General features: G+C 38.1%; 1 annotated feature.

Moving 5' to 3' along the window:
* Positions 2,581 to 3,288: an enhancer, noted in NCBI's record as "OCT4-NANOG-H3K27ac-H3K4me1 hESC enhancer chr4:55852217-55852924 (GRCh37/hg19 assembly coordinates)". NCBI's record gives its function as "activates a minimal SCP1, AML or CMV promoter by ChIP-STARR-seq in naive H9 embryonic stem cells {active_cell/tissue: H9 hESC(naive)}" and the evidence as "EXISTENCE:reporter gene assay evidence [ECO:0000049][PMID:30033119]".

The raw sequence follows: 17,683 nt of genomic DNA on the forward strand, positions 1-17,683 counted from the left end.
CAAAAATAGATAAATGGTATCACATCAAGTTAAAAAGCTTCTGCACAAAGGAAACAATCAACAAAGTGAAGAGACAACCCACAGAATGGGAGAAAATATTTGCAAACTACCTGTCTGACAAGGGATTAATAAGTATAATATATAAGGAGCTCAAATTATCCCATTAAAAATGGGACAAAGACCTGAATAGACATTTCTCAAAATAAGATATACAAATAGAAAACAAGTATATGAAAATTAACAAAGAGGTGAAAGAGCTCTGCAATGAAAACTGTAAAATACTAATGAAAAAAATTGAAGAACACACACAAAATTTGTATTTCTCTGATAATCATTGATTGTCAGAGAAATACAAGTCAAAACTACCTCTTCAGGTAGTAACAAATGCTGGTGAGGATGTAGAGAAAAGAGAACCCTTATACAGTGTTGGTGGAAATGTAAATTAGTACAACCACTATGATGAACAGTTTGAAGGTTCCTCAAAAAACTAAAAATAGAGCTACCATGTGATCCAGCAATCCTATTGCTAGGTATATACTCAAAAGAAATAAAGTCAGCATATCAAAGAGATGTCTGCACTCCCATGTTTGTTGCAGCACTTCACATTAGCCAAGATTTGGAATCAACCTAAGTGCCCATCAACAGATGAATGAATTTTGAAAAATGTGGAACTTACACATAACAGAGTACTACTCAGCCATAAAAAAGAATGAGATTCTGTCATTTGCAACAACATGGATGGAACTGGAGGTCATTAGCTCAAATGAAATAGGCCAGGCACAAAAAGACAAACATCACATATTCTCACTTATTTGTGGGATCTAAAAATCAAAACAATTGAACTCATGGAGACATAGAAGGATGGTTACCAGAGGCTGAGAAGGGCAGTGGGAGTGTGGGGAGATGTTGGGAAAGGTTAATGGGTACAAAAAATATATAATGAATGACTAAAACCTAGTATTTGATAGCATAACAGGATGATTGTACTCAATAATAATGTAATTACATATTTTTAATAACTAAAAGAATATAATTGGGTTGTTTGTAACACAAAAGATAAATGCTTGAGGGGAAGGATGTCTAATTTTACGTGATGTGATTATTACGCATTGCATGCATGTATCAAAGCATGTCATGTACCCTATAAATACATATACCTACTATAGATTCATGAAAATTTAAAATGAAAATTTATTATTATGACATACTATTAATTTGGCCTTGCTAATATTTTATTTTCATTTCTGTGTTTAAAAGTGAACTGTGCCTATAATTTTCTTTTCTTGTACTCTTTCTATTTGTTTTGGAACCAAGACTATACAACCCTCAAAAAATTTTAAGAGCTTTTTTTTGCATTTGAAATTTTGTAGAATTCATCCGTAACACCATCTTGGCCTGAGGCTTTAGAAAAAGGGAGAACTTTGATTTTTCATTACGATTTCTTTTTTTTTTTTTTTTTGGAGATAGAGCCTGGTTCTGTCACCCAGGCTGGAATGCAGTGGCATGATCTCTGATCTCTGTTCACTGGAAGCTCTGCCTCCTGGGCAGCACATGCCTCCACACCCGGCTATTTTTTATTTTTTATTTTTTTTGTACTTTAGTAGAGACAGGGTTTCACCATGTTGGCCAGGCTGGCCTCAAATTCCTGAGCTCAGCAATCCGCCCGCCTAGGCCTCCCAAAGTGCTAGGATTACAGGCATGAGCCACCATGCCCAGCCTACAATTTCTTTAGTTCTTATCAGTTAATTCAAGTTTACATTTCCTTTTGTGCTAATTTTAACATTTTATATTTTTCTAAAAATTGTGCATTTCATCTGTTTTCAAATAACGATGCTTATTTTGAAAACTTCAAATTAGTACATAGTTTTTCGAAATATTAATTCTGTAAATATTTCTTGTGTTGAAAGTAATTTCCCTTTTTCTTTTCTGTAATTGGTTATTTGTATTTTTTCTCTTCTTTGTGATTAATCTTTCCAGAGATCTATCATTGATATTTTCAAAGAACTGACATCAATTTGATTCATTTAAATGTTTCATTGTTCTTTATTATATTGATTTCTTCCTTGAGCCTTATTATATATATCCTTTGTTCTTTGTCTTTTTAAACTTCTTAAGTTTAATAATTTGCTTTCAGCCTCTTAACTTTCTAATTCCTTAAGTTTATGCTTAATTTATTTGCTTTTGACTTCTCTTGTTTCCTGTTAAATGTATTTAAAGCTATAACATTTTTTCTAAGTATTACTTTAGTTGTTTTCACAAATTTTGGCATCGACTATTTTCAAGGCTAATTCATGTCTAAGTATTTCGTGTTTACCTTAAGATTTTTGAAAGTGGTGCTAATTTTAGCCCAAATGTCTAGGCATATGGAAATTTTAACATATGAGATTACTAGTTTATAGACATGTGAGATTTTTATAGAGTTTCTTTAGGTATTGGTTTCTAATTTGATTGACGAGAGTCAGATAATAATGTGTATGATATTGATCTTTTGGAATTTATTGAAGTTTTCTTTGCATGATTAATGTTTGTAAAGTGTGGAGGGGCTTCAAGATGGCTGACTAGAAGCATTTCATGTGCTCTTCCTCCCCTTAGAAGAACCAATACAGTGTGTAGACAATCACGTTTCAAATACATTATCCAAGAAAGAACACCAGAATTCAAAAGAAAAGTGACAGGAAACACTGAAAACAAAGACTTAGAAGAAAGAGAGGCAGCCTGCTTGACTGGGATCAGCTGGGAGCCAGGAGTGACTTCCCAACATGGGGAAAGGGCTAAGTGAGAGACTTTCAGCAGCTCACATCCCCACCATGGAATTATGCAAATCTGACCACGCTGGATCCTCCCAACCCCTGGGAATAACAAAGGGAGCTGCTGGGAGACTGTGACACAGAACTGCTTCAGGGAGGGAGCTCATGCTGTGTCCCATACACTTTCTGAGACCTATGCAGGTATTGCAAGGTGTCATTTTTAAGTGCAGCCTTTCACAAACTGCGGGCTTTCCTAGGGCCCAGCAGCACTGGGACTGAGGTGTTAGGGAAACTTGGGCTGTTGCTGTTGGGACTGCAACACAAGCTAGGAATGGGCTCCCACACCTGGGGCTGACAAGGAAGCAGTATATGGGCTGCAGCTGCCAGTGCTGGGAAGTGAGCGCCATCAGGACTGACACTGGGATGTGAGCTGGGCCCACGTTGCTTCTGGGATTCATTGCAAGTTGGGTGGGAGCTCCTGCAGCCAGGCTGAGGTGTGAGCTAGGTGCAGGCTACCACCACGACTGGTGGCCATGCCTCATCAGAATTGGGCATGAGAGGGATGCATATTACCCACTGGTTTAGGCTGTGGCCACTGAGGCTGGCTTCACAATGGCAGGGACTCAATGCAGCTGCTACCATCCCTCACCCAAGCGGTCCACCTGGGATCTGAGGATGCCTCTGCTCACCATGGCTGGCACCCGCTCTCCTCATTTGGAGGCCTGAGCATAAGCCTGCCCAACCCGGCTTTATCCCCAATGCTAAAGCACATAGCTTGGGGTCCTGGGGATTTCTCAACCCAATCCACCATATGGATTGCCTTAACACTCCTCCCAGGGGCCTGAGGTTTGGCCTAAATACCCAATCACTACAACCTCAGCTGACACCTACCTGTCAGCACCACACGCAGGTCTAGAGACTGGCCATTCCAGCACACTGCAGACACCGCCAAAACATATACACACTGCTTGGGACCCAGGGAATCATCCTATCACAGTTATTGCCATTGCCTTTGCCACACTGGCTACCTCAAGGCCTAAGAACCAACTCATCCACCCACTCCACTGCTGCTACTACTAGCATCCCAGAAAGCCACCTTTAGGCCCAAGAATTGGCCTGTAGATAACAAACAAACCAACACAGATGCCAGCATGCACCACCCTAGGGTACAAGGATACACGTACTCACCCCATCACTGCTACGACTAGGGCCTGAAGACTGGCCCACCTGACATTCCAGTCCCAAACACAACTTTGCCACAGCCTCCACTAATAACTGCACCCTAACATAATAAGGAAATCACAGATACCAATAATGTTGTTTACAACCAAAGAAATCATATGGAGACTACACTACTACACACCACAGAATCAAAGCTAAGGTGCCCTACTCAACCAACAACATCTTCTGGAAAAAGATTTTTCCCTATGAAAGTAAATTTAAAAATAGAAGTAACTGTTACAGTCACCAGATGCACAGAACAAGATAAGGACACATTGAAAACCAGGGAACATTGAAAACCAGGGAAATATTGAAAACCAGGGAAATATTACACCTCTAAAAGAACACAATAATTTTCCAGCAGAAGATACTAATCAAAAAGAAATTCTTGGCCAGGTGTGGTGGCTCATGCCTGTAATCCCAGCACTTTGGGAGGCTGAGGCAGGTGGATCACTTGAGGTCAGGAGTCTGAGACCAGCCTGGCCAACATGGTAAAACATTGTCCCTACTAAAAGTACAAAAATTAGCTAGGCATGGTGGCGCACACCTGTAATCCCAGCTACTTGGGAGGCTGAGGCACAGGAATCGCTTGAACCCGGGAAGCATAGGCTTCAGTGAGCTGAGATAACGCCACTGTGCTCCAGCCTGAGTGACAGAGCGAGACTGTGGCAAAGAAAAACAAAGAAAGAAAGAAGAAAGAAAGAAAGAAAGAAAGAGAAAAGAAATTCTTGAAAGCCAAGATTAAAAATTCAAACTATTGATTTTAAAGAAGCTAGATGAGATAGATACAAGATAATTCTGAAAAATAATGCAGGAAAATTAGAAAAACAATTCAGGATATGGATGAGAAATTTACCAAAGAGGTAGATATTTAAAAAAAAAATTCTGGAACCAAAGAATTCATTGAAGGAAATAAAAAATATATTTGAAAGCGGCAATAACAAAATAGGTAGGAAGAAAGAATCTCAGAACTTGAAGACAGGTCTTTTGAAATAATCCAGACAAAAAAAAAAACGATTTTTAAAAAATGAACAAAGTTTTCATAACATTTGAGGCAGCATAAAGCAATTATATTTAAGAATTATTGGATTCCTCAATAGGGAAGAGAGAAAAAAAGGATTAGAAAAACTGTTTCATGAAATAATAGATGACTCCCAAGTCTAGCAAGATATTTAGACATCCAGATACAGAAGCTTGACAATCCCCAAGCAGATAGGATGCAATAAGATCTTCTCCATAGTACATCATAGTCAGACTGTCTAAAGTCATAGATAAAGACTGAATCCTAAAAACAGCAAGAGAAAGGTATCTAGTCAACTATAAAGGAAACCTCATCAGAGTAACAGTAAATTTTTCAGCAGAAACATCACAAGTCAGAAGAGAATGGGAAAATATATTCAGTGTTGAAAGACAAATACTGTCAGCCAAGAATACTATAGTCAGCAAAATTATTCATCATAAATGGAGAAAGAAAGTCTTTCCCAAATATGCAAATGCTGGGAAAATTTATAACCACTGAGCCAGACTTATGAGAAATGTTTATGAGAGTCTTAAACCTGGAAGTGAAAAGATGACTTTCACCATCATGAAATCACATGAAACTATAAAACTCACTGGTAAAGCAATCACAAGAAGAAAGAAGACTGAAATGATACCACCACTACAGAAATCTACCAAACCACAACAACAAACAATAAAGGAAAAATTAAGTAGCAAAAAATATATAAAACAACCAGAAAATAATTAACAATATGATAGGAACAAAACCTCACATATGAATAACAACCTTGAATATAAATGGATTAAATACTCCACTTAAAATTATAGAATGGCTATATGTATTTTTTTAAGTGATCCAATTATTTGTTGCTTACAAGAAATCCACCTTGCTAGTAAAGACACATATACAAAAGTAAAGGAATGGAAAAAGATATTCTATGCAAATGAAAACCAAAAGCAAGCAGGAGTAGCTTAACATAAATCAGATAAAATAGACTTTAAGTCAAAAATAGTTTTAAAAAAAGACAAAGGAGGTCATTATGTAATGATAAAGGGATCAATCCAGCTAGTAGATATAAAAATGCACTCAACACTGGAGCATCCAGATTCATAAGGCAGACATTACTAGATCTAAAGAGAGAGATAGACTGCAATACAATAATAGTGGGGGACTTCAACACCTCATTCTCAGAATTAGACAGATCATCTAAACAGAAAATCAAAAAACAAATATTGGATCTAAGCTAGTCTTTAGAACAAATGAATGTGATAGACATTTACAGAACATCCTATTCAACAACTGCAGAATATACATTTTTTTTAATTAGCACATAAAACACTCTTCGGGATAGATCATATGTTAGGCCACAAAACAATTCTCAACAATTTTTTTAAAAAATCAAAATTATAACAAATATCTTTCAGACCACATGGAATAGAACTAGAAATCAATGGAAAGAGAAACTATGGAAACTATGTAAATACATAAAAATTACACAGTGTACTCATGAACAACCATTGTGTCAACAAAGAAATTAAGATGAGTATCAAAACACTTTTTGAAACAAATGAAAAGGGAAACATAACATACCAAAACCTGTAGGATACAGTAAAAGCAGTGCTAAGAGGGAAATTTATACCAATAAATGTTTATATCAAGAAAGTAGATAGATTACAAATTAACAATTTAACAATGTTTAAAGAAACAAGCCAAACCCAGAATTAGCAGAATAAAAGAAATAATAAAGATCAGAGCGTAATTAAATGAAATAAAGACTAAAAAATAATACAAAGCATCAATAAAACTAAAAGCTGTTTCTTTGAAAAGGTAAACAAAATAAACTGGTAGCTAGACTAACCAAGAAGACAGAAGATCCAAATAAACAAAATCAGAAATGAAAAGAAGACATTACAATTGATACCACAGAAATATAAAAGATTGTCAGAGACTATTGTGAACAACTATACACTAAAAACCTAAAGAAAATGAACAAATTCCTGGAAACATACAAGCTACCAAGACTGAATCAAGAAGAAATTAAAAACCTGAAAGAACCAATAATGAGTAGTGAGATTGAATCAGTAATAAGAAGTATTCCAATATAGAAAAACCTAGGACTGGATGAATTCTCAGCTGAATTCTACCAAATGTAGAAAGAACTAATCCCAATCCTCCTGAAATTATTCCAAAAAAAATTCAAAGGAAATTCTTCCTAACTAATTCTACAAAGCCAGCATCATCCTCATATGAAAACCAGACAAGGACACAACAAAAAAAGAAAACTACAAGCCAATATTCCTGATGAACATAGATGCAAAAATCCTGAACAAAATACTAGCAAACTGAATCCAATAGCACATCAAAAAGATAATACATCATGATCAAGAAGGATTTATACCAGGAATGCAAGAATGGTTCAACATATACGACTCAATAAATGTGATACATCACATCTACAGAATGAAAAACAAAAAACATATGATCATTTCAGTAGACGAAGAAAAAGCATTTGATAGAATTCAACATCACTTCATGGTAAAAGCTCTCAACAAACTAGGCATAGAAGGAACGTCTGTCAACATAATAAAGACCATATAGGATAAACTCATGGCTAACATTATACTGAATGAGGAAAAGTTGAAAGCCCTTCCTCTAAGAACAAAACAAGGATGTCCACTTCCAGCACTCCAATTCAACATAGTTCTAGAAGTCCAAGCCTTAGCAATCAGGCAAGTGAAAGAAATAAAAGGCATCCAAAGTAAAAAAGTCGAAGTTTAATTGTTCTTCTTTGCTGATAATGTGATCTTATATCTAGAAAAACCTAAAGACTTTACCAAAAAAACTCTTAGATTTGATAAATGAGTTCACCAAAGTGGCAGGATACAAAATCAATGTACAAGAATTAGTAATGTTTTGATACATCAATAATGATCAAGCTGAGAAAGAAATCAAGAAGGCAGTGCTGTTTACAATAGCTACAAAAAATTAAAACACCTAGGAATATATTTAACCAAGGAAGTGAAAGATCTCTACAAGAAAAACTACAAAAACACTGATGAAAGAAATTAAAGATGACACAAACAAATGAAAAAATATTCATGCTTGTGAATCAGAAGAATTAATATCCTTAAAATGACCATATTGCCCAAAGCAATCTACAGATTCAATGCAATCCCTACCAAAATGCTAGTATCACCCCTCACAGAATTAGAAAAAGACAATTCTAAAATGCATATGAAACCAAAACATAGCCCTAATATCCATAGCAATACTAATCAAAAAAGATCAAAGCTTGAGGCATCACATTATCTGACTTCAAAATATATTAGAAGGCTATAGTAACCAAAACAGTATGATATTGGTATAAAAATAGACACATGGATCAACGGAACAGAATACAGAACCCAGAAATAAAGCTACGTATTTATAGCCAGTTGATCTTGGACAAAAGCAACAAAGGCTTACATTGGGGAAAGGACACCCTCTTCAATAAATGGTGCTGGGAAAATGAGATAGCCACATGCAGAAGAATGAGACTGTATCCCTATTTCTGACATATACAGAAATCAACTCAAAATAGATTAAAGACTTAAACATCAGGCCTGAAACTATAAACATACAAAAAGAAAACCTAGGCAAAACTCTTCTGAACATTAGTTGAGGCAAAAAATTTATGACTAAGACCTTAAAAGCCCAGGCAACAAAAACAGACAAATGGGATGTAATTAAGCTAAAATGCTTCTGCACAGCAAAAGAAATAATCAACAGATAGAAGAAACAACCTGTTGAGTGGGAAAAAAATCATTTCAAATATTTTCCAATATTAGGGGACTAGTATCCAGAATGTACAAGGAACTCAACAAAAAAATAATAATCCCATTAAAAAAAGGGAAAAGGACATGAATAGACAATTCTCAAAGGAAGACTTTCAAATGGCCAACATTTGAAAAAATGCTCAACATCACTAATCATCAGAGAAATGCAAACCAAAACCACAATGAGATATTCATCTTACCCCAATCAGAATGACTACTATTTAAAAGGCAAAAAATAACAGACGTTGGTGAGGATGCAGAGGAAAGAGAACACTCATACACTGCTGGTGGGAATACAGCCACTCTGGAAAACAATATGGAGATTTCTCAAGAAACTAAACATAGAATTACCATTCAATCCAGCAATCCCACAACTAAGTATCTACCCAAAGGAAAATAAATCAGTATATGAAAGGGATAACTGCACTGTCTTGTTTATTTACAACACATTCAAAATAACAAAGGTATGAAATTAACCTAAGTGTTCATCAACAGATGGTTGGATTAAAAAGTGAGGTGCATATGTACACAATGGAATACTATTAAGCCATAAAAAGAATGAAATCATGTCATTTGAAGTAATATGGATGGAACTAGAGGTCATTATATTAAGTGAAATAATTCAGGCACAAAGAAACAAACATCACATGTTCTCACTTATATGTGGGAACTAAAAAATTGTATCACATGGCAGTAAAGAGTAAAAAGATAGAAGACAGAGACTGGGAAAGTTGAGTGGGATGTAGTGGGGAGAATGAAGAGAAGTGAGTTAAAAGGTATAAACACACAGTTACATAAAAAAAATAAATTCAATGTTTGGTAGCAGAGTAGAGTGATTATAGTTAACAAAAATGCATTGTATTTGGGTGACAGATACCCTGAATATCCTGACTTGATCACTACACATTATATACATGTAACAACTTTTACATGTACCCCATACATTTTTATAAATTAAAAAATGATAATTAAAAATTTTGTAAAGGTTCCATGTGTGCTTAAAAATAGCTGTATTTTCCTTTTGTTGAGTATTAACTAAATGGAGAAAAAGAATGTGTGTCTATGCGTATGCATATGCAATTGAGAGGTGACAGCGTGCTGGCAGCCCTCATAGCCCTCGCTCACTCTTGGCACCTCCTTGGCCTTGGCACCCACTCTGCCCACACTTGAGGAGCCCTTCAGCCCACCGCTGCACTGTGGGAGCCCCTTTCTGGGCTGGCCAAGGCCGGAGCCGGCTCCCTCAGCTTGTGGGGAGGTGTGGAGGGAGAAGCGCGGCGGGAACCGGGGCTGCGGGCCACACTTGCAGGCCAGCGCGAGTTCCAGGTGGGCGTGGGCTAGGCAGGCCCTGCACTCGGAGCGGCCAGCTGGCCCACTGCCCCAGGCAGTGAGGGGCTTAGCACCTGGGCCAGCAGCTGCTGTGCTCCACTTCTCGCCAGGTCTTAGCTGCCTCCCCACAGGGCAGGGCTCGGGACCTGCAGCCTGCCATGCCTGAACCTCCCCCGGCCCGCCGTGGGCTCCTGCACGGCCCGAGCCTCCCCGACTAGTGCCGACCCTGCTTCACAGTGCCCAGTCCCATCGACCGCCCAAGGGCTGAGAAGTGCGGGCCCACGGCGTGGGACTGGCAGGCACCTCCACCTGTGGCCCCGGTGCAGGATCCACTGGGTGAAGCCAGCTGGGCTCCTGAGTCTGGTGGGGACTTGGAGAAGCTTTATGTCTAGCTAAGGGATTGTAAATACACCAATCGGCACTCTGTATCTAGCTCAAGGTTTGTAAACACACCAATCAGCCCCCTGTGTCTAGCTCAGGGTTTGTGAATGCACCAATCCACACTCTGTATCTAGCTACTGTGGTGGGGACTTGGAGAACCTATGTGTTGATACTCCATATCTAGCTAATCTAGCGGGGACATGGAGAACTTTTGTGTCTAGCTCAGAGATTGTAAACGCACCAATCAGCACCCTGTCAAAACGGACCAATCAGCTCTCTGTAAAATGGACCAATCAGCTAATCAGCTCTCTGTAAAATGGACCAGTCAGCAGGATGTGGGTGGGGCCAGATAAGAGAATAAAAGCAGGCTGCCCCAGTCAGCAGGGACAATTTGCTCAGGTCCCCTTCCACGCTGTGGAAGCTTTGTTCTTTTGCTCTTTGCAATAAATTTTGGTGTTGCTCACTCTTTGGGTCCACACTGCCTTTATGAGCTGTAACACTCACCACGAAGGTCTGCAGCTTCACTCCTGAAGCCAGCGAGACCACGAACCCACCAGAAGGAAGAAACTCCGAACACATCCGAGCATCAGAAGGAACAAACTCTGGACACGCTGCTTTTAAGAACTGTGACACTCACCGCTAGGGTCCGCGGCTTCATTCTCGAAGTTGGTGAGGCCAAGAACCCACCAATTCTGGACACACAATGTCTAAAGATCATTAATTGTATTATTCACATGTTCTAAAGCTCTGATTATTTTTTGTGTGTTTGATCTATCATTTTTGCGAGGGAAATATTAACACTTCCAATTATAATAGTTGACTTAGTAATTCTCCCTAAACTTTTTCAAGTTGTTGCATAGTATTTCTTGAGGTTATATAGTTTACTTCATAGGTATTTATGTGGTTTATTAATGTTTACATGTTATTACTCCATATTCTTTTATCCAAGATACATCCTCTTTGTGTCTTATGACATATTTTACCTTGAATTCTGCTTTTTCAGATATTATAATACCACTCCATCTAATTTGATTCATGTTTTATCTAATATAGCTTATTACATCCTTTTATTTTCAAATTTTTGATATCCTATTTCAGTGTGTTTCTTACAGACTGCAAATTGTTATAATCTTTTTATTATTCTGAAATTCTCTCTTTATATTGATAAAATTAAACCATTTGTATTCATTATAATAATTTTAATACTATAACATTTCTGCCTTATTTTATGTTTTCAATTTATTGTATTTTTTATGATGTGTGCTTCTTTTCTCTTTTCTCGCCTTTTCTCCTTTCTTTAAAAAGTACACATTCTTTTTTTAAAATATAAATTTTTTAGGTTTATGATGTTTGACTTTAAACTAAGGCCCATTTTGTGTTTATTTCTATTAATTTCCCAATTACTCGTATATCTCAATATCCTTTGAGACATCATTAGCTTCTTTCATTTCTTATTTTTAAATGCTGCAGTGCTCCAAGACCCAGTCCTCATTCTTCTCCATCCTTACTCAGTTCCTAGGAAATCCTATTCAGTCCAATGGCTTTAAATATTAATTATATACTGATGAATTCCACATCGTTACCAGGCCTCCAAACCTGTGTATACAACTTCTTCTTCAGTATCTCTGCTTTAATGTTCACTGTGGACCTCAAATTTAACCTGCCCAAAGTAGAAGGTTCATTTACTTCAAGGTTGTATAATTGTGGTCTCCTACAGTATCTCCAAAATCCTAGGGGTTTTCTTTGGTTTCTCGTTGTCTACTACTTCACATTAAAATCTTCAACAAGACTACCATCTTTATGTTAAATTATATTCCCAATCTGCCCACTTTTGTCACCTCCACAGCTATCACCCTCGTCCATATCACTATCATCTCTCACCTGGATCATTGTAATTACCTACTAACTGTCCTCACTGTCACCTCATTTCCACTATTGCCTAACACCCCCCAACCGCCACCTCCATAATATATTTATCTCCACAAAGATCTATTTTTAACAGAGAAAATAACACTGCTCCCATACTCAGAGTCTTCTGCTGACTTCCCATCACGATTACATCCAAACTCCTTACCATAGCCTGTTAGGAAAGTGGACATATAATTTATCCATCCAAACCAGGCAGTGTTGAGACTGAAAGAGGCTCTATTAGTAAAGACACCGGGAACAATGACAACTTTACAACTTGATTCCTCCCCTACTCCCTCAGCTCCAACATGCTGCTCTGTTTAATCGTTCCCACAACAAGGTCTTTCATGAGCAAAAATTCAACAAGGATGTATCAAATGCGGAGTATGTGAGGATGCAACAGTGAACACAACAAAGTTTCTCATTTCATGGAGTTCACATTCTAAAAGCTTCTTCCATTTGGAAGACATCCTCCAGATTCTCACACAGCTTAAGCATTCATATTATCCAAATATCTGGTCAAATGTCCCTTTTTAGAAAGATATTCCCAGGATATCCTGCTGCAATAGCCTGACTAACCATCCCATCAATCTCTATCACTAACCCTGATTTATGCTTTTCATGTTTCACCTGAAATTATATTATTCCATTAATTGTTTTCTTATAGCCCGTGTACTATTAATAGTTTGTTCTTGTACTACTATAAAGAAATATGCGAGACTGGGTAATTTACAAAGAAAAGAGGTTTAATTGACTCACAGTTCTGCAGGCTGTACAGGTTGGGGAGGCCTTAGGAAACTTTCAATCATGGCGGAAGGTGAAGGAGAACCAGGCACATCTTACATGGCTGGAGTAGGAGGGAAGAGAGATAGGGGGAGATGCCACACACTTTTAAACAACCAGATCTCCTGAGAACTCACTCACTATCATGAGAACAGCAAGGGGGAAATCCACCTCCATGATCAAATCCTCTCCCACCAGGCCCTACCTCCAATATAGGGGGTTATAATTCAAATGAGATTTGGGTGGGGACACAAATCCAAACCATACCAGCCTGTCTGTCCCTTAGAATGTAAGCTTCAAGAGGACAAGGATGTGGCCTGCCTTAGTCACTGCTGTATCCCCAGCTCCTAGAACATTCCTAAACCATCAATATGTATTGAATAAATAAATAATGAATAGTTCATTGGGGACATTAAATTTATATGAAACTTTCCCTTTGGGAACATTTAACTATGTTATTCAATAATATTTAATAACAGCCAATTCCCCAGAGGTATCTACAGAGAATATCTCTATCACAATCATTTTTCTTGAAACAACTTTTTCCATGCATTCATTTCATATAAATGGCTGTTCTCTCTGCACTGAAAGTTGAACAAGACAAATAGAATTCACGTATAAATCTGAATTCTCTTAGCATCGCTGAAACCCAGACGAAAAGCACATGTGTGAAGAAGCTGGTGAGGCTTTCCCTTTCATGGGTCTTCTATGGCATATATTTATCCACCAGTCTCCTGAATGAAAGGCTGCACTTTTTAAATTCCAAACTAAGCACTTCAAAGGAAGAGCCTCCTGCTTTCCTAAATATGCTTAGTGCAAAAGATTGCATTGCAAGGGCTATCTGGGGGCATTTCTACCTGTGGCCAAAATCCAAATGTCTTGAGGTTTTTTTTTTTTTTTTCAGATTATTGTTTATATGCTTCAGATTGTTTATATGCTGCATATATGTTTATATGCAGATAAGCATATGAGAGAGAATGGGCTATAATTATTAAATAATGAAAACAATTTTTCCACACAACTTATGAATATCATCCTCATGAAGATTGGCTAATCAAATGTTTCTCCCTGCATTCTGCCAAGAATTTAATTAAAAATGGCTTTGATGGTGTGTATCCAAGGAAAACTAATTCCTGGTTTTAACTAAGGAATAAATGAATACTTAAAGCAGGTTGCTATGATGGACCAGGAGTGCACAAGTAGAGTTTTGTTTTGTTTTGTTTTGTTTTTTGTTTTTGTTTTTGTTTTTTTGAGATGGAGTTTTGCTTTTGTTGCCCAGGCTGGAGTGCAATGGCACAGTCTCGACTCACTGCAACCTCCACCTCCTGGGTTCAAGCGATTCTCTTGCCTCAGCCTTCCAAGTAGCTGAGATTACAGGCGCCCACCACCATGCCCAGCTAATGTTTTTTGTATTTTTAGTAGAGACAGGGTTTCACTATGTTGGCCAGGCTGGTCTCGAACCCCTGGCCTTAGGTAATCCACCTGCCTCGGCCTCCCAAAGTGCTGGGATTACAGGCATGAGCCACTGCACCCAGCCACAAGTAGGATTTTGACACATTGAACTGGTTTGCATGCCAAATCTAGTCAATGGCTTAAATAAGTTGTTGAGAAAGATGTTTCTTTGGTGCAAAGAATACAGAATAAGAAAAGTGAAAATATTTGATTCAACAAACTTTTTGAGAGTTACCTATCAAATACTCCATGGAAAGCAATACTGCTCAGACCACTACAGTCGCCTTGCATTAAGCATCTCATGATCTCCATTTCAATCATAATACTTCTTCAGATGAATTTTATTCATGTATTTCATTCCACTCTTACCTGATTCCCTATAGTGTCTTTGTATTATTGCCTTGGACTGCAGCTATGCTTTGGTGGCAAGAATGTAGCCTGTGTTCAAGATCAACTTGAACAGGTTAAACTTTTCAATTGGCTGCATAAAGTTTGGCAGGCACTTAATCTGTCTCAGTTTGCTCAGTTTGTTACACCACAAAATGCAGCTAGTGATACCTACCTATTGGGTTGCTATGAGGGGTGAGTGTGACCATATATGGGAGTATTTCTCAATGATCAATGGCATAGGCAAGACCAGAATCAGGGTGAGATGAATGAGAAGCAACATTTAAGAGGACACCAAAAAACTACCATCAGGATAAATATTTTAATAAAATATGTTGCAGAAATCTAAATCAATGGAAAAAATCCATGATGAACAAAATACCAAAAATTCAGGCTCTGGATATGAGAATATGAGAGATATAACAGTATGTTTGATAGAGGTATAACAGACAAACATTTGACCAGTGGTCTTTCTTGCCACGTCATACGGTTTTAATCCTGTCCTTTACTTCTCAGCAGCTGGCTTCAGAGCATCCATCAGTGTCTGCCTCCTCACTATCCAGCCAGCTGGGAGCTTTTTTCTCCTTGCTATTTGCTTAAATTCTTGCTTTCTCTTCCTTGGAGTACATAGTTGCCTTTCTGACAATTTTCAACTCTTACTCTTCAAGTTCCTTTATTGTCCTGCTAGGGGTGCTCCAGTTCTTTGGAAAAACTCTCTTTTTAGCTCAGGATTTGGTGCCAAGAGTATTTTAGCCTTGTTTTTTCTGATGTTGGACTCCTGCATCAAATGCTGGCTCTTCCTCAAGATCTCAAGTTCAAGTAATGTTGCAAAAAGTGTGCACTCTCAAGTGAGCTGTTCACACAGAGTTCCATTTACTGGTCCATCTAGGTGACAAGCCAATACATACAACCTACAGATTTCATGGAAACACAAAGGCAACCAATGTCTGATTATCAGTTACATGAAGCAAGTTTAGAAGACTAGGTGATATGTCCCTGAGAGAGAGACTCTTCTCTCTGTCACTCAGGGAAGGACTCTCTTCTTCTGTTGCAAGCATGGGGCATTGATTGATTTATTAATTCATTGATTTTTCTTATCACCATCATCAGATCCCTATTTCTACCAATAATTACTACCCTTTACTGGTTATTTACTATGTGCTAGTTGCTGTGCATACATTGTTTCATTCAATCCTTGTAGCATGCTTTTGGAGTAGGAATTATTAACTTATTTAAGGATGAGGAAACCCAATCTTAGAGATGCTCTTATAGCTATCAATAATAAATTCTCTTATGTATTCACTCTACAAATATTTATAAAGTTCCTTAAATAATTGAGCTTCTGTGCTAGTATCTTTGGAAACTAAAATAGACTGGCTGAGTGCTATGGTTTGAATGCTTGAGTCGTTCCAAAATTCATGTTGAAACATAATCCCTAATGCAACAGTATTAAGAAATAGGGCATTTAGAAGGTTATTCGGCCATGAGAAATTCACCCCCTTGAATGAATTGGTGCCTTATAAAAGGGCTTGAGTGGGCACAGGCACAGCATTCCTCCCCTGTGGAGGAAGAAGTGTCCAAGGTGCCATCTTGGAAGAAGAGACGGGGACCTCACCAGACACTGAACCTGCTGGTGCCTTGATCTTGGACTTGCCAGCCTCCAGAACTGTGAGAAATACATTTCTATTATCTATAAATTACCCAGTCTAAAATAACGTATTTTGTTAACAGCAATATATATAGACTAAGAAACTGAGGTAAGCAGAAAAGGGATTTATAAAAGGATATTGAGTAGCTCGCAGAATCCCAGAGAGAAGAGATGCCCACAGAAAAAAGCCTAGAGTCACATCAGAGACCCAATCTGGTGAGGAACTTGTCACCACTGACTCCACTGTCAGGGGTGCTGGAATATGCTATCAGCACTGTCACCACTAGTCCCCCTGGGACTTGTTCCTGCTACACTGCCACCGCCAATAGAGAGCCTCTTGGATGTCCTTGCTGCTTTGCAACATTAGTTCTCCATTCAAAACCTAACCTGGGGCACCTTTTGGAAAACTATAAGTCACACATCCACACCCTAACTACAAGGAAGACTGGGAATATGAGGATCTAGAAGCTTCTACAGAAAGAGGTGATTTGGATCTCCAACAGAGACTCAATTTTTTAAATGTAGGAAGGAACTTCAGGTGCTGGCACATCCAAAAGAATCACAGGTAACTGCTACATTGAGTCCTTGCCCTTCAGGCACTTATAAATGAACAGGGCAGAAGACGCACACCAATGACCACAGTATGTAAGAAATGCCACCAAAGATGAGGACAAAAAAAAATCCTTCTTGGCAGGAGGTAGAGGATGCATTCTCACTGGAGATAACAGGACAAATTCAAAGAAGGGATCACACTTCTACTGAGTCTTACAAAGTGGTAGAATTTGATAGATTATGATGCTGAGTGGGTCAAATAGGAAAAACAATTCAAAGAACAAGATACCCAAGCAAAAATGTACAAGGTTTATTGGCAAGGATGAGTACTCACATTGTGCTGAGTAGAGCAGAGGGTCTTCGGTGTGATTTAGGTGTGAAATGACCAAGGCTTTTGGCCATGGTGAAGGGGAAGAAGGAATAGACTCAGCAGTAATTATGAGGGAAAGATCAACTGGGCTTA

Source organism: Homo sapiens, chromosome 4, assembly GCF_000001405.40.
Source record: "Homo sapiens chromosome 4, GRCh38.p14 Primary Assembly".
NCBI classification, from domain to species: domain Eukaryota; kingdom Metazoa; phylum Chordata; class Mammalia; order Primates; family Hominidae; genus Homo; species Homo sapiens.